The 12,651-nt window shown below is 45.5% G+C and overlaps 1 protein-coding gene and 1 non-coding gene across 5 annotated transcripts in view, besides 4 other annotated features; one reads left to right on the top strand and one right to left on the bottom strand.

Annotated features, from left to right (window-relative positions):
* Nucleotides 1,484-1,683: a silencer, noted in NCBI's record as "silent region_2700". NCBI's record gives its function as "represses an Ori minimal core promoter by ATAC-STARR-seq in GM12878 lymphoblastoid cells {active_cell/tissue: GM12878}" and the evidence as "EXISTENCE:reporter gene assay evidence [ECO:0000049][PMID:35858748]".
* On the bottom strand, nt 2,652-2,757 carry LOC124902583 (small nucleolar RNA U13). The gene has a single exon (XR_007062416.1). It is a non-coding gene; the product is annotated as a small nucleolar RNA U13 (small nucleolar RNA).
* Nucleotides 7,724-8,273: an enhancer, noted in NCBI's record as "active region_3879". NCBI's record gives its function as "activates an Ori minimal core promoter by ATAC-STARR-seq in GM12878 lymphoblastoid cells {active_cell/tissue: GM12878}" and the evidence as "EXISTENCE:reporter gene assay evidence [ECO:0000049][PMID:35858748]".
* Nucleotides 8,284-8,403: an enhancer, noted in NCBI's record as "active region_3878". NCBI's record gives its function as "activates an Ori minimal core promoter by ATAC-STARR-seq in GM12878 lymphoblastoid cells {active_cell/tissue: GM12878}" and the evidence as "EXISTENCE:reporter gene assay evidence [ECO:0000049][PMID:35858748]".
* Nucleotides 12,112-12,631: a silencer, noted in NCBI's record as "silent region_2699". NCBI's record gives its function as "represses an Ori minimal core promoter by ATAC-STARR-seq in GM12878 lymphoblastoid cells {active_cell/tissue: GM12878}" and the evidence as "EXISTENCE:reporter gene assay evidence [ECO:0000049][PMID:35858748]".
* Nucleotides 12,404-12,651, top strand: part of DNMBP (dynamin binding protein) — a 134,377-nt gene continuing 134,129 nt past the window's right edge. For all 4 annotated transcript variants that reach the window (NR_199816.1, NM_001441288.1, NM_015221.4 and 1 more), the window contains exon 1: nt 12,404-12,513. The gene's annotated coding sequence lies outside the window, so the exon portion shown is untranslated. The remainder of the gene's footprint in view (nt 12,514-12,651) is intronic.

The raw sequence follows: 12,651 nt of genomic DNA, 5'->3' as shown, positions 1-12,651 counted from the left end.
TACTTCAGATCCCATTTCTGACACCATCTGTTAAAAAGAAAACCTTAGGGCCGGGCGTGGTGGCTCACACCTGTAATCCCAGCACTTTGGGAGGCCGAGGCAGGTGGATCACCTGAGGTCAGGAGTTCGAGACCAACCTGCCCAACATAGCGAAACCCTGTCTCTATTAAAAAAAAAAACACAGGCCGGGCTCATGCCTGTAATCCCAGCACTTTGGAAGGCTGAGGCGGGTGGATCACGAGGTCAGGAAATCAAGACCATCCTGGCTAACATGGTGAAACCCTGTCTTTACTAAAAATACAAAAAATTAGCCGGTCGTGGTGGCGGGCACCTGCAGTCCCAGCTACTCGGGAGGCTGGGGCAGGAGAATGGCGTGAACCCAGGAGGCAGAGCTTGCAGTGAGCTGAGATCATGCCACTGCACTCCTGCCTGGGCGACAGAGCGAGACTCCGTCTCAAAAAAACAAAAAAGCTGGGTGTGGTGGCAGGCACCTGTAATCCCAGCTACTCAGGAGGCTGAGGCAGGAGAATCGCTTGAACCCGGGAGGTAGAGGTTGCAGTGAGCTGAGATTGCACCACTGCACTCCAGCCTGGGTGACAAAAGCGAAACTTCATCTCAAAAAAAAAAAAAAAACCCTTAGGCAAATTAAATTTAACAGAGAGTTTATTGAGCAAAGAATGATTTGCAAATCAGGCAGCCCCCAAAGCAGAATAGGTTCAGAAAGACTCCTGCACAGCTGCGTAGTCAAAAAAGACTTACAGGCAGAAAAAGGAAAGTGATGGACAGAAACAGTTGGATTGGTTACAGCTTTGCATTTGCCTTATTTGGACACATTTTGAATAGTTGGTCACCTTTGATTGGCTTAAATTCAGTGATTGGCACAAGAATAGGTTACAGTCTGTTTATGCATCCAATAAGGTTATAGTTCACTATGTATGGCAAAATCTTTACACTGAACTTGAACTGTGTAAGGAGGCAGCTTTATGATAAACCTAACTTAGCAGACCTATTAAGAAATATATATTTTGTCTTTGTCCCCTGGTGTACAACTTCTAAAACCCTTGTAACTTCCTGAATGACAGAGGTGATAGGAGCTCTTTTGCTACCGGTAACAAGCCCCTGAATTTGAATTACACCTGAGTTTATGTTAATGAGATGACTGGTAGCTGAAAGCCCCTAGATAGCTTCAGGATGGGTCTGGTTGCCAAAGAAACCCACCATGTGCTTATGATGGCAGCGGCGGGCCATCTGGAGTGGCTGCTGCCATCACGCCGGCTGCAGCAGGGAGGTGCAGCTGGGGCTGCAAGCTCAATAGAGCCAGCGGGAGCCAGGGACCAGCGGGAGCCCCATTCCTTCCGAGTTGGGGCAGGAGCTCCCCAGGTGCCGCTGCAACTGCCCAAGCCATGGCTATGGACCCAGGCATCCCGGTCCTCTTGGGGCCCGGGATCAGGCAGGGGCCCCATCCTCCCAGGCACAGCTGCAGCCACTCAAATAGCAAGCCCAGGAGCCCTGTGGCAGGAAAGAGCCCACCTGGTTCTAGCAACTGCATCTCTTGAACGTAAGGGGGTGTGTGTGCATGCTCAGTTTCCTGATTTATGATCTCAATGTGCTAGAAGTCTAACTCAGCATAGGTCCAAGACAGTGTAGCATCCAAACCACACTGAGTCTATTAATAAGTGAGCCAGTAAGATTCACTTTCTCCGTGGCCACAGAAAACACCCCTAAACCCAACCAGCCATCTCGAAAGCAAGGATATAGAAAGTAGGACAGCATGACTTGGTACAAATCTGCCATCAGAACTGGAGAAGTTAGACTTCCTGTGTCTAGAGCATCATCTTTACACATGTGGTACCACAATTTGTCTCATACACACACTCTCAGCACACACCCTGCAATCCACCATGCCCACCTCCTGCCTGGAATGCAGCTTCATTTCTACTTTAACACTAACTGTATTCTGGGTTTAACCATGAGTAAACATTCCCCCTGAGCAAATGCTTAAGCAAACATCACTTCTCTCCCTCCTCCCAGAAGTTAAATATCACTATTTATAAAGGCTTCCCCCTACCCCTACTGTCTCTTATTCTTTCCCTCACCACTTCATGATCCTCCCCACACTGCTACTCGTTAATCTTTCTTTCTCCCACCTTCATTCTGTTCACATACTTCCTGCACCCCTTCGCCCCCACCCCACCAGGCCCTGCTGCAGGTGGGTGTAGCATCACCTAAGAAGCACTGCCTGGAGCCATGAAGGGATAAGAGGCCAGCAGCCCGGGGAAAAGCCAAACAGAAAAAGCACTGCTTGTTTCTGCTGTTACTCTGCCTGCCTCCCCCTGCAGTCTCAGGGAGGAGGCAAAGAAAGTCACCGCTTGGATCCATGTTCACCCTGCAGGAGGAGGGAGAAAAGGCATCTTTGACTTCCTTTTAGATTGTCCCATATGAGCCCTTTGGGATGAAGTCCATCCCGGGCACTAGATCAAAGGAATTGAGTGAGTTTCCTCAAATCCTTTCTGGAATCAGATGAAGAATAAATAAATGAAGAAATAAAGTGACCACAATTTTGTTCTTTTTAAAAATATCCAAATATAGTATTTGAAACACACGGTAGTTTATAGAAGGCTTTTATTTTACAAGCCAATAATTTTTTTTAATGTCAGACATTGGTACATTACCAATGTTGTAGCAAGGTTTGAGGGAGGTACATCTCACGCATGAGCATGAAAACTCAATCATCATGCTTATGACCTACAAAATGACCTAATTTTTTTTTAATGGAAGGATAAAGGGCCCACCAACTTTCTTTTTTTTTTTTTTTTCGATAGGGTATTGTTCTGTTGCCCAGGCTGGAGTGCAGTGGCACAATCACAGCTGCCTGCAACCTTGACCTCCTGGGCTCAAGTGATCCTCCTTTCTCAGCCTCCTGAGTAACTGAGACTACAGGCATGTACCACTATGCCTGGCTAATTTTTAAATTTTTTGTAGAGATGGGGGTTTCACCATCTTGCCCAGGCTGGTCTTGAACTCCTGAGCTCATGTGATCCTCCTCCTTCAGCCTCCCGAAGTATTGGGGCTACAGGCATGAGCCACCATGCCTGGCTACTTTCTATTTTGGACTAACTTTCTAATTTTCTATTAAGGACTATTGGTAAAATACAATTGTTATCCACTATCACCATCAATTCGTAAATACTCTAACACCAAAAATTAGGAAAGGTATAATCTCAGAATAAAGAAGTCTTGTAAATGAAATTTTTCTCATCTTACTAGGAAATAGTAAATCTTCCATCTTAGACTGGCATATTGAGCCAGTAGTTTAGAGATGAGACCTTTATTGGCATATAACTAAAAATCCAGACATAGCTGGATTGAGGTGCCTAAGTTAGGTGGTATGGAATCTCTCTCCATTTCTTGATTTCATTGTCTTCAGTAGTGACTTCATTCTCACATAGTCTCTCTCCATGAGGCAAGGTGAACAACAGCTCCTTTTAGCTTATCTTCTCTCAGCTATCAAAAGACAAAATTACAACAAATTTAGATTAAAGATCGAATTGGCTTTTATTTGCAATTCTAGAATTGGGCAACAACTCATTCTATAAGATAGAATGAGTGTTCAGATGAGTTGAGCAGAGAAATTTGACTTTATAGGCAGAAGAGGGCTGAAGAACGCAGGAACAGAACAAAAACTGATTGGTTGTTACAAAGTTACTTTCCTTATAAAGGTTAAAGCAGAGGGGGCCACCTCATCATGCTTCCCAAAACAGGCCTGTTTGGGGATTTGGCTATTATCTATTTCTTGCCTGATTTCTTGGAAGATCAAATAAATAGCTTAGTTTTGGCTTGGTGGAAACTTCAGTATGAGTAACTCCATTTTGGTTTTATCTGTTAAGCCTAGTGCAAGAGCTCAGTTCCACCCAATGGCCTCCTATAAATTTCATTTAACACAGTTTAGCAACAAACTATTGATTCTTGAGCATGAATCTCAATAGCACAAACTGGATTACGTGCCTATCTCTAAAACTATCACAGTGACTCTGATTGGTCAGTCTGGGGTCATATGATCACTTCTGGGTGCTGGAATGGAAATATGGGGGACTGCGAGTATAGATGAGTTGTTTCCCATTAAAACAAACAAACAAAAAATCCCTGGGAGATCAAGACAGGCAGATCACTTGAGGCCAGGAATTCGAGACCAGCTTGGCCAACATAAAACCCCGTCTCTACTAAAAATAGAAAAGTTAGCCGGGCATGGTGGCACATGCCTGCAATCCCAGCTACTTGGGAGGCTGAGGCAGGAGAATTGCTTGACCGTGGGAGGCAGAGGTTGCAGTGAGTGGAGATCATGCCACTGCACTCCAGCCTGGGCAACAGAGCGAGACTCCATCTCAAAAAGAAAAAAAACAGGAATGATGGTTGTGGACAAAACAACAAAAGAGCATTATAATTTTGTTGAATTTAAGCATCATTTTGATTTTACTGTGACTTTTTTCTGTTTTATTTATCTTTCATTGACATATAATTGTACATATTTATGGGGTACAATATATGTATACATTGTATAATTAGCAAATCAGAGTAATTAGCAAATCCATCATCTCAAATATTTATTACTTCTTTGTGGTGAAAACATTCAGAATGCTCTCTTTTAGTTAATTTGTTTTTATTGATTCTTATTTTTTATTTTTAAATGGAATTTCGCTCTTGTTGCCCAGGTTGGAGTGCAATGGCATGATCTTAGCTCACTGCAACCTCCGCCTCCTGGGTTCAAGCAATTCTCCTGCCTCAGCCTCCCAAGCAGCTGGGATTACAGGCATGCGCCACCACACCCGGCTAATTTTTTTGTATTTAGTAGAGACAGGTTTTCACCATGTTGGTCAGGCTGGTCTAGATCTCCCGATCTCAGGTGATCCACCCACCTCGGCCTTCCAAAGTGCTGGGATTACAGGCGTGCCCCACCATGCCTGGCCCTTATTTTATTTTATTTTTTCTGGAGATGGAATCTTACTCTGTTGCCCAGGCTGGAGTGCAGTGGCACGATCTCGGTTCACTGCAACCTCCGCCTCCCAGGTTCAAGCTATTCTCCTGCCTCAGCCTCCTGAGTAGCTGGGATTACAGGTGTGCAACACCATGCCCAAGTATATTTTGTATTTTTAGTAGAGACGGGGTTTCACCATGTTGGTCAGGCTGGTCTCAAACTCCTGACCTCAGGTGATCCCCCTACTTCGGCAAAGAAAGTCACCCCTTGGATCCATGTTCACCCCGCAGGAGCGGGGAGAAAAGGCATCTTTGACTTCCTTTTAGATTGTCCCATGTGAGCCCTTTGGGATGAAGTCCATCCCGGCACTAGATCAAAGGAATTGAGTGAGTTTCCTTAAATCCTTTCTGGAATCAGAGGAAGAATAAATAAATGAAGAAATAAAGTGACCACAATTTTGTTCTTTTTAAAAATACTCAAATATAGTATTTGAAACACACTGTAGTTTATAGAAGGCTTTTATTTTACAAGCCAATGATTTTTTTTTAATGTCAGACATTGGTACATTACTAATGTTGTAGCAAGGTTTGAGGGAGATACATCTCACACATCAGCCTTCCAAGTAGCTGGGATTACAGCCACACACCACCATGCCCGGCTAAGTTTTGTATTTTTAGTAGAGACAGGGTTTCAGCATGTTGGCCAGGCTGGTCTTGAACTCTTGGCCTCAAGCGATCCACCCCACCTCAGCCTCCCAGAGTGCTGGGATTACAGGTGTGAGACATTGCGTCCAGCCATGGTTTTTACTTCTGAGTGTGAAATAATTCTCTGTTTTCCCGTAAACCAATTCAAGCTTCTGCAAGTAGATAGGAAGAGGAGTCCCTAGGCATCAATATATCAATATATTAAGAACAGCCCTGAAGATAAACATGATACAGTCTTTTCTTCAGAATACAGAAGCTTTCTTATAGGGTCTGTTCTCTTCTAGGAAGAACAAAACAAGACCTGGTCTTACTCTTGCCAACCAGGGTCTATCCCTAAATGAAACCAAATGGCCTCTGTTGTCTTCTAGGAGTTGGCCTTGTCCTAGTTCAAGTCCACCAGACAGATGCCCTCTGTGAAAACTATCCTGACTTGGCCGGGTGTGGTGGCTCCGCCTGTAATCCCAGCACTTTGGGAGGCCGAGGCAAGTGGATCACCTGAGGTGAGGTCAGGAGTTCGAGAACAGCCTGGCCAACGAGGTGAATCCCCATCTCTACTAAAAATAGAAAAATTAAACGGTTGTGGTGGTGGGCGCCTGTAATCCCAGATACTTGGGAGGCTTAGGCAGGAGAATTGCTTGAACTCGGGAGGCGGAGGTTGCAGTGAGCCGAGATCCCGCCATTGCACTCCAGCCTGGGCAACAAGAGTGAAACTCCGTCTCAAAAAAAAAAAGAAAAGAAAACCATGCTGACTTCTCCTTTGCCTGTGAGATCTGATCACCAATCTTCCTCTGTCGATCTCTTTTCAACTTGAATTCTCACCGTTCTGAACCTTGGCCATGAGACTGCCAGGTGCATTGTGTCAACATTTTGATGAATAGTTGTTAGTATTTTCATGTGATGTCTGACATTTTAGGATGCAAACCTATGTCTTCCATGTTCTATCACTAGGTTGTTGGATCACATTTTCTTTTATAATAGAAATAAGCATATATTAACAGTATTTTATCTATACATCCCCTCCTCCCCACCACCCTGGAATTTGGTCCCCTGGCTATTCCAGGATGGACGGTTAGCTGACATAGCATGAGCAAGGCCAGCTTTGATTAGTTTCAGCAGCTCACTACTCTCATCTGCTTGCCATTGCAAACAACAGCTTATGGCTGTGACATGGTGCATTGTGGGGGGAAGCCAGAGGGAGTTGCCTTTGATATGGGGCCAAGTCATGCCAAACTGTTAGTTCATGGTGCAGCCCCTCATAACCGTGATAGTACTTACGGTATATCAAAGGATGACACACCCAAATAGTTTTAATCAATTAGATGAATCAAAATATGAATTGAGCCATTCTGTGTTTTGGTTTATTGAGGATTATTCAAGGGGAAAAACAATGTACTTTTTAGTTTTAATATGACATATACAGATATAATCCTTATTGTTAACAAGGCAGTTCCACACACATTTATCTCGTTTGGTTATTTTCATTTCAGTCCCTTCATTTGGGGATATTTTAATCACGTCTCAATACATCAACTTATCACAAAAATCAATCTCTTTACCATGGCTCACCAAACCAGAAATGACCTACATACTGTTTGTTAGATAGTTATTATTTGGCCGTGTGCGGTGGCTCATGCTTGTAATCCCAGCACTTTGGGAGGCCGAGGAGGGTGGATCACCTGAGGTCAGGAGTTCAAGACCAGTCTGACCAACATGATGCAACCCCATCTCTACTAAAAATACAAAAATTAACCGGTTGTGGTGGCGCATGCCTGTAGTCCCAGCTACTTGGGAGGCTGAGGCAGGAAAATCAGTTGAACCTGGGAGGCAGAGGTTGCAGTGAACCAAGATTGCACGCACTACTGCACTCCGGCCTGGGCGACAGAGCGAGACTGCATCTCAAAAAAAAAAAAAGAAAAAAAAAGATAGTTATTATTATTATTATTAAGAGACAGGGTCTTGCTATGTTGCCCAGGCTGGAGTGCAGTGGCTATTCACAGGCACAATCATAATGTGCTGCAATCTTGAACTTCTGGGCTCAAGTGAGCCTCTCACCTCACCCTCCAAAGTAGCTGGGATTACAGATGCGTGACACTGCACCTGGCCCTGTTTGTTTTCTAATCTGATCTCATAAAACTGCCTCCTTTGTTCACATGGCTTATTTTGTGTTTCCGAAACGTACTAGATGGCTTTCTACTTCAAGATTTTGCACCTGCAGTTTCTCCTGCCTGAAGAGCTCTTTACATGGCTGATTCTTTCTCTCTTTTTTTGAGATGGGGTTTCACTCTGTCACACAGGCTGGAGTGCAGTGGTGCCATCATGGCTCACTGCAGATCGTGGGACTACAGGCTTGAGCCACCATGTCCGGCTTGATTCTTTCTCATTATTCAAGTTTCAGGTAAATGTTACATCCCCAGAGGGGATTTCCCCAACTATCTCTATATTCAGAGAAGGTTCCCATCCCTCACTTTGGCCTTTATCAGCCTAGATTCCTTATCTAAACCACATGACATAGAAGCTGTGTGGAGTGAATTGTCCTCTTAGTTCTTTCAAGGACTGAGTATGACTTGAACTGTTCTGGTTGCTGTTGGGGTCAGGTGAACTTCCTCTTCGCCCTCTGAAGTTTTGCTGAAAAATCAGGTCACAAAAGGCAGATTAATTGGCATATGCATCTGTTTGACAATAGTTTTATGTGACACGGAAGACCAACCCCCCAATGGGGTGCAGAAGCTTATGTACCATCTTGAGGCTACAGAAAAAATGGTGACTTGGATGCTGGCAAAACAGGTTATGGGAGGGTGAAGAAGAGGAATTCTATTGAGGGCAATAAATGATTACTAGGGAGAATTCAATGAACTTGAGGAACTTCCAATGGTCTGGGACAAAGTCTGTTGGGCCTGCAGACCAGACAGTGGTTTGTGACAAAAGTCTGTCCAGGTTTATTGACAGACTTTGGTCTTCTTTCTTGCAATGTGGGTTCAGTTAATTAAAACTCAGGAAAGAGATCAGAGATAATTGTTTTTCTTTGGTAGGTCAGGACTTTGGACAGATAAGGAAACTTCAGAGAATACTATGCTTTGGGAGAGACAGTGAAGAGGGGCAGGTGGGAGGAGGTTGAGAGAGACCTTGAGACTGCTTTTTCAGCTCAACATGTACAAAGCACCCTATTTTAGGGTATTGGTTTCTAAGCCCCAACATTGCATAGGAGAGAAGTTAACTCATTACATACAACAAATGCCTAGGGCACTAGGCTTTAATTCTCTGTGATCTAATCTATCGCATCAGTTGGTTTGTTTCCTTCATAACACTCAACTACACCCCATGATTGTCTGGATTATCATTTGTTTATTTCTTTATTGTCTGTTACCCTACTCTAGAATGTGAGCTCCATGAAGGCAAGGATCTTGTCTGTGTTGGTCAGCCTGAATGCCAAACACCTAGCACAATGCCTGTTACATCACAAATGTACAGTAAGAATTCATTGATAAATGAAAAGTATAAAACCACCTTTGCAAAATTTTAACTGAGGAACTTATGAAGTGAAAGAAAGCAGACCTAACTGACCCCATCTTGCTTCTAACCTTTAAGTTGTCCTCGTTCATTCCTGGGCATAGGCTGAACTAACTTTGGGAAAGAATTCAGTTCATGACTCTGAAACAAAATTGATAATAGCCCTTTGCCAAAAAGACCCCCTTCTTGCCTAGGGACCAGTCTGCCTTTGCAGGACTAACAAATTAGCTACAAGATTAGAAATTACAGTTTAAGGCCGGGAGTGGTGGCTCACACCTGTAATCCCAGAACTTTGGGAGACTGAGGTGGATGGATCACTTGAGGCCAGGAGTTTGAGACCAGCCTGGCCAACAATGTGAAACCTCATCTCTACTAAAAATACAAAAATTAGCTGGACGTGGTGGTGCATGCTTGTAATTTCAGCTACTAGGGAGGCTGAGGCACGAGAATCGCTTCAACTCGGGAGGTGGAGGTTGCAGTGAGCTGAGATTGCACCCCTGCACTCCAGCCTGGGCGGTAGACTAAGACTCCGTCTCAAAAAAAAAAAAAAAAAAAAAAATTACAGTTTAGGGGTCATGCAGCCTCTGACTCCAAGAGCCTGAACCTCCCAAATTGCTCCTGGAATAACATCACTATTTCAAAACCTAAGATCAGTATTTGAGATATTTTGCAGACCCTGCAGTTGATGGATCTGCTGACACCATCCAGACCGGTAATCTGGCTCAACCAGTTCTGCATTGCACCCAGGAGCAGAAAACAGCAAGAAAACCTCATTTTGACCCCCTATGTTTCCATCTCCAACCTGACCAATCAGCACTCCCCACTTCTCAAGACCCCACCAGCCAAATTATCTTTAAAAACTCCACAAGGTCAGGAGATGGAGACAATCCTGGCTAACACGGTGATAGTCCGTTTCTACTACAAAAATACAAAAAAAAAATTAGCCAGGCGTGGTGGCGGGCGCCTGCAGTACCAGCTACTCGGGAGGCTGAGGCAGGAGAATGGCGGGAACCCAGAAGGCGGAGCTTGCAATGAGCCGAGATCACGCCGCTGCACTCAAGCCTGGGAGACGGAGCGAGACTCCGTCTCAAAAAAACAAACAAACAAAAAACTCCGATCCCCAGGCTGGGCGCAGTGGTTCATGCCTGTAATCCCAGTACTTTGGGAGGCCGAGGAGGGTGGATCACCTGAGGTCAGGAGTTCAAGCCCAGCCTGACCAACGTGGCGAAAAAAATAAATAAAACGAAATGCTTGATTTTTCATCTGAATTTCATATGGCATACTTGACTCCAAACAACTTTAGAAAGCTACATCCACAGAAAACAAAATTGTAGGAAACTGAATAATAAGTTATTTTTATTTTGGCTAATAACATTATCCAAAAATAAAGACAATAGATTTGCAATGTTAATTACTTTCTTGAGGAAAGAAAAGTCACTTGTTTTAAAATATTTATTTATTTATTTATTTATTTATTTATTTGAGACGGAGTCTCGCTGTGTCACCACGCTGGAGTGCAGTGGCGCGATCTCAGCTCACTGCAACCTCTACCTCCCGGGTTCAAGCGATTCTCCTGCCTCAGCCTCCCGAGTAGCTGGGACTACAGGCACCCACCACCATGACCAGCTAATTTTTTATTTTTAGTAGAGACAGGGTTTCACCATGTTGACCAGGATGGTCTCGTTCTCTTGACCTCGTGATCCGCCGAAAAGTCACAGTTTTACAGGCAAATGAAGCATTGCTAAGAATTTTAAAGACTCTCCGAACGTTGATATTTTACTACAAAATGTTCTCTTTACAGTGTTAACATGCTTCAAAAAGCAAAGGAAAAAAAAACAGTATGGTGGCTTCTCAAAAAATTAAACACAGAATTACCACATGATCCAGCAATTCTTCTGGATATATACCCAAAAGAATTGAAAGTAGGGACTCAGATATTTGTACACCCATGTTCATTGCAGCATTATTCACCATAGCCTAAAGGTACAAACAACCCAAATGTCCACAGAAAGATGGGATAAACCAAAGATGTTATATACGTACAATTGAGTATTATTCAGCCTTCAAAAGGAAGGATATTCTAACGCATGCTACAACATGGGTGAGCCTTGAAGACATTATGCTAGGTGAAAGAAGCCACTCACAAAAGGACAATATTGTATGATCCCACTTATATGAGGTATCCAGAGTAATCATAGAGACAGAAAGTAGAATGATGGTTACCAGGGGCTGGAGAATGAGGAGTTAGTGTTTAATGGGTACAGTTTCAGTTTGGGAAGATGAAAAAGTTCTGGAGCTGGATGGTGGTGATGGTTGCAGAACAATGTCAATGTACTTAATGCCACTGAACTGTACACTTAAAAAGGATTAAAATGGTAAATTTCATGTGATATATATTTAACCACAAGTTTTTAAAAAGCAAAGGGAAGGAGAAACATATACAGCATGGGATGAGATTTGTGAAATATTTATTTTTGTTGTGCATGCACAGTCATAGACTCGCCGCCTTCTTCAGAATCCTCTAGGTAGATTCCAGAAACGTGAGGCGCAGCAATTCCAGCAACATAGCCAAGCTGTGTAACTTCGTGGTCTTTAAACAAACAACGGGAATACTGCGGGGATTCAGAAACTGAGTCGGAGGAGGAGTTCTGACAGCCCTGCCCAGTTCTTGCTTCTGTCATTTCTTGCTCTCAAATTCTCAAAGATGTCCTGAGAGACTTTCCTCAGAAAAAAATGGGACAGATAGAGGCGAACCCCAGCGAGTATTGTGTGGCATAATAAGGGAAACTGCCTCGGGGTAGCAAAGAGGACAGCATCACACGCAGACAGGAATCGACTTGGACTTCTCTGAATGGAATTTTGACTTTTTTCTAGGTTGGAGGGTGGTGTCGGGAGTGGGGGAACAGCAAGAGTGGAGGAACTTGTCCGCAGCCGGGGCTGCACGTAGGACTGCGTGAGGCCGAGGCCCGACGAGCCGTGTCGGCGCGCTGCGGCGGGGGCGGGCCCCCGTGCCTCAGTTTCCCCGGTGGCCGTTCTGGGAGCGACGCCCCTCTGACGTCGCGAGGCGAGCAGGGCCGGGCCGGCCGCCAGGGGGCGCGAGCGCGGGGCGGGCGCCGGAGAGGTGGGCGCGCGGGCAGCGGAGCTTGGCGCCCCCGGGGCCGCGCGGACCGCGCCGGCAGAGGCGGAAGCCTGAGCGGGAGGCGGGGCGGCGCGCTGACTCACACGGGATCGACCCGCCCGCCGCTTCCAGGGGCGGAGGTGACAGCGGGCTGGGGACTGGCGGCTGCAACTGCCTGCCGCGCCGAGGGACCGCCGGGCGGCGGAAAGCAGGTCAGAGGCCGGGCCAGGCCGGAGCCGGGCGGGGGCCGGGCGGGGAGCGGGGGTCGCGGTCCGGGGCCGCGGGCGGAGGGGACCCGCACCCCGAGAGACGCGCCGCGCCGCGCCGCGCGGCTAGGCCTGTATCGGCCC

Source organism: Homo sapiens, chromosome 10 (assembly GCF_000001405.40).
Source record: "Homo sapiens chromosome 10, GRCh38.p14 Primary Assembly".
NCBI classification, from domain to species: Eukaryota; Metazoa; Chordata; class Mammalia; order Primates; family Hominidae; genus Homo; species Homo sapiens.
This window is presented reverse-complemented; position numbering and strand designations above follow the sequence as displayed.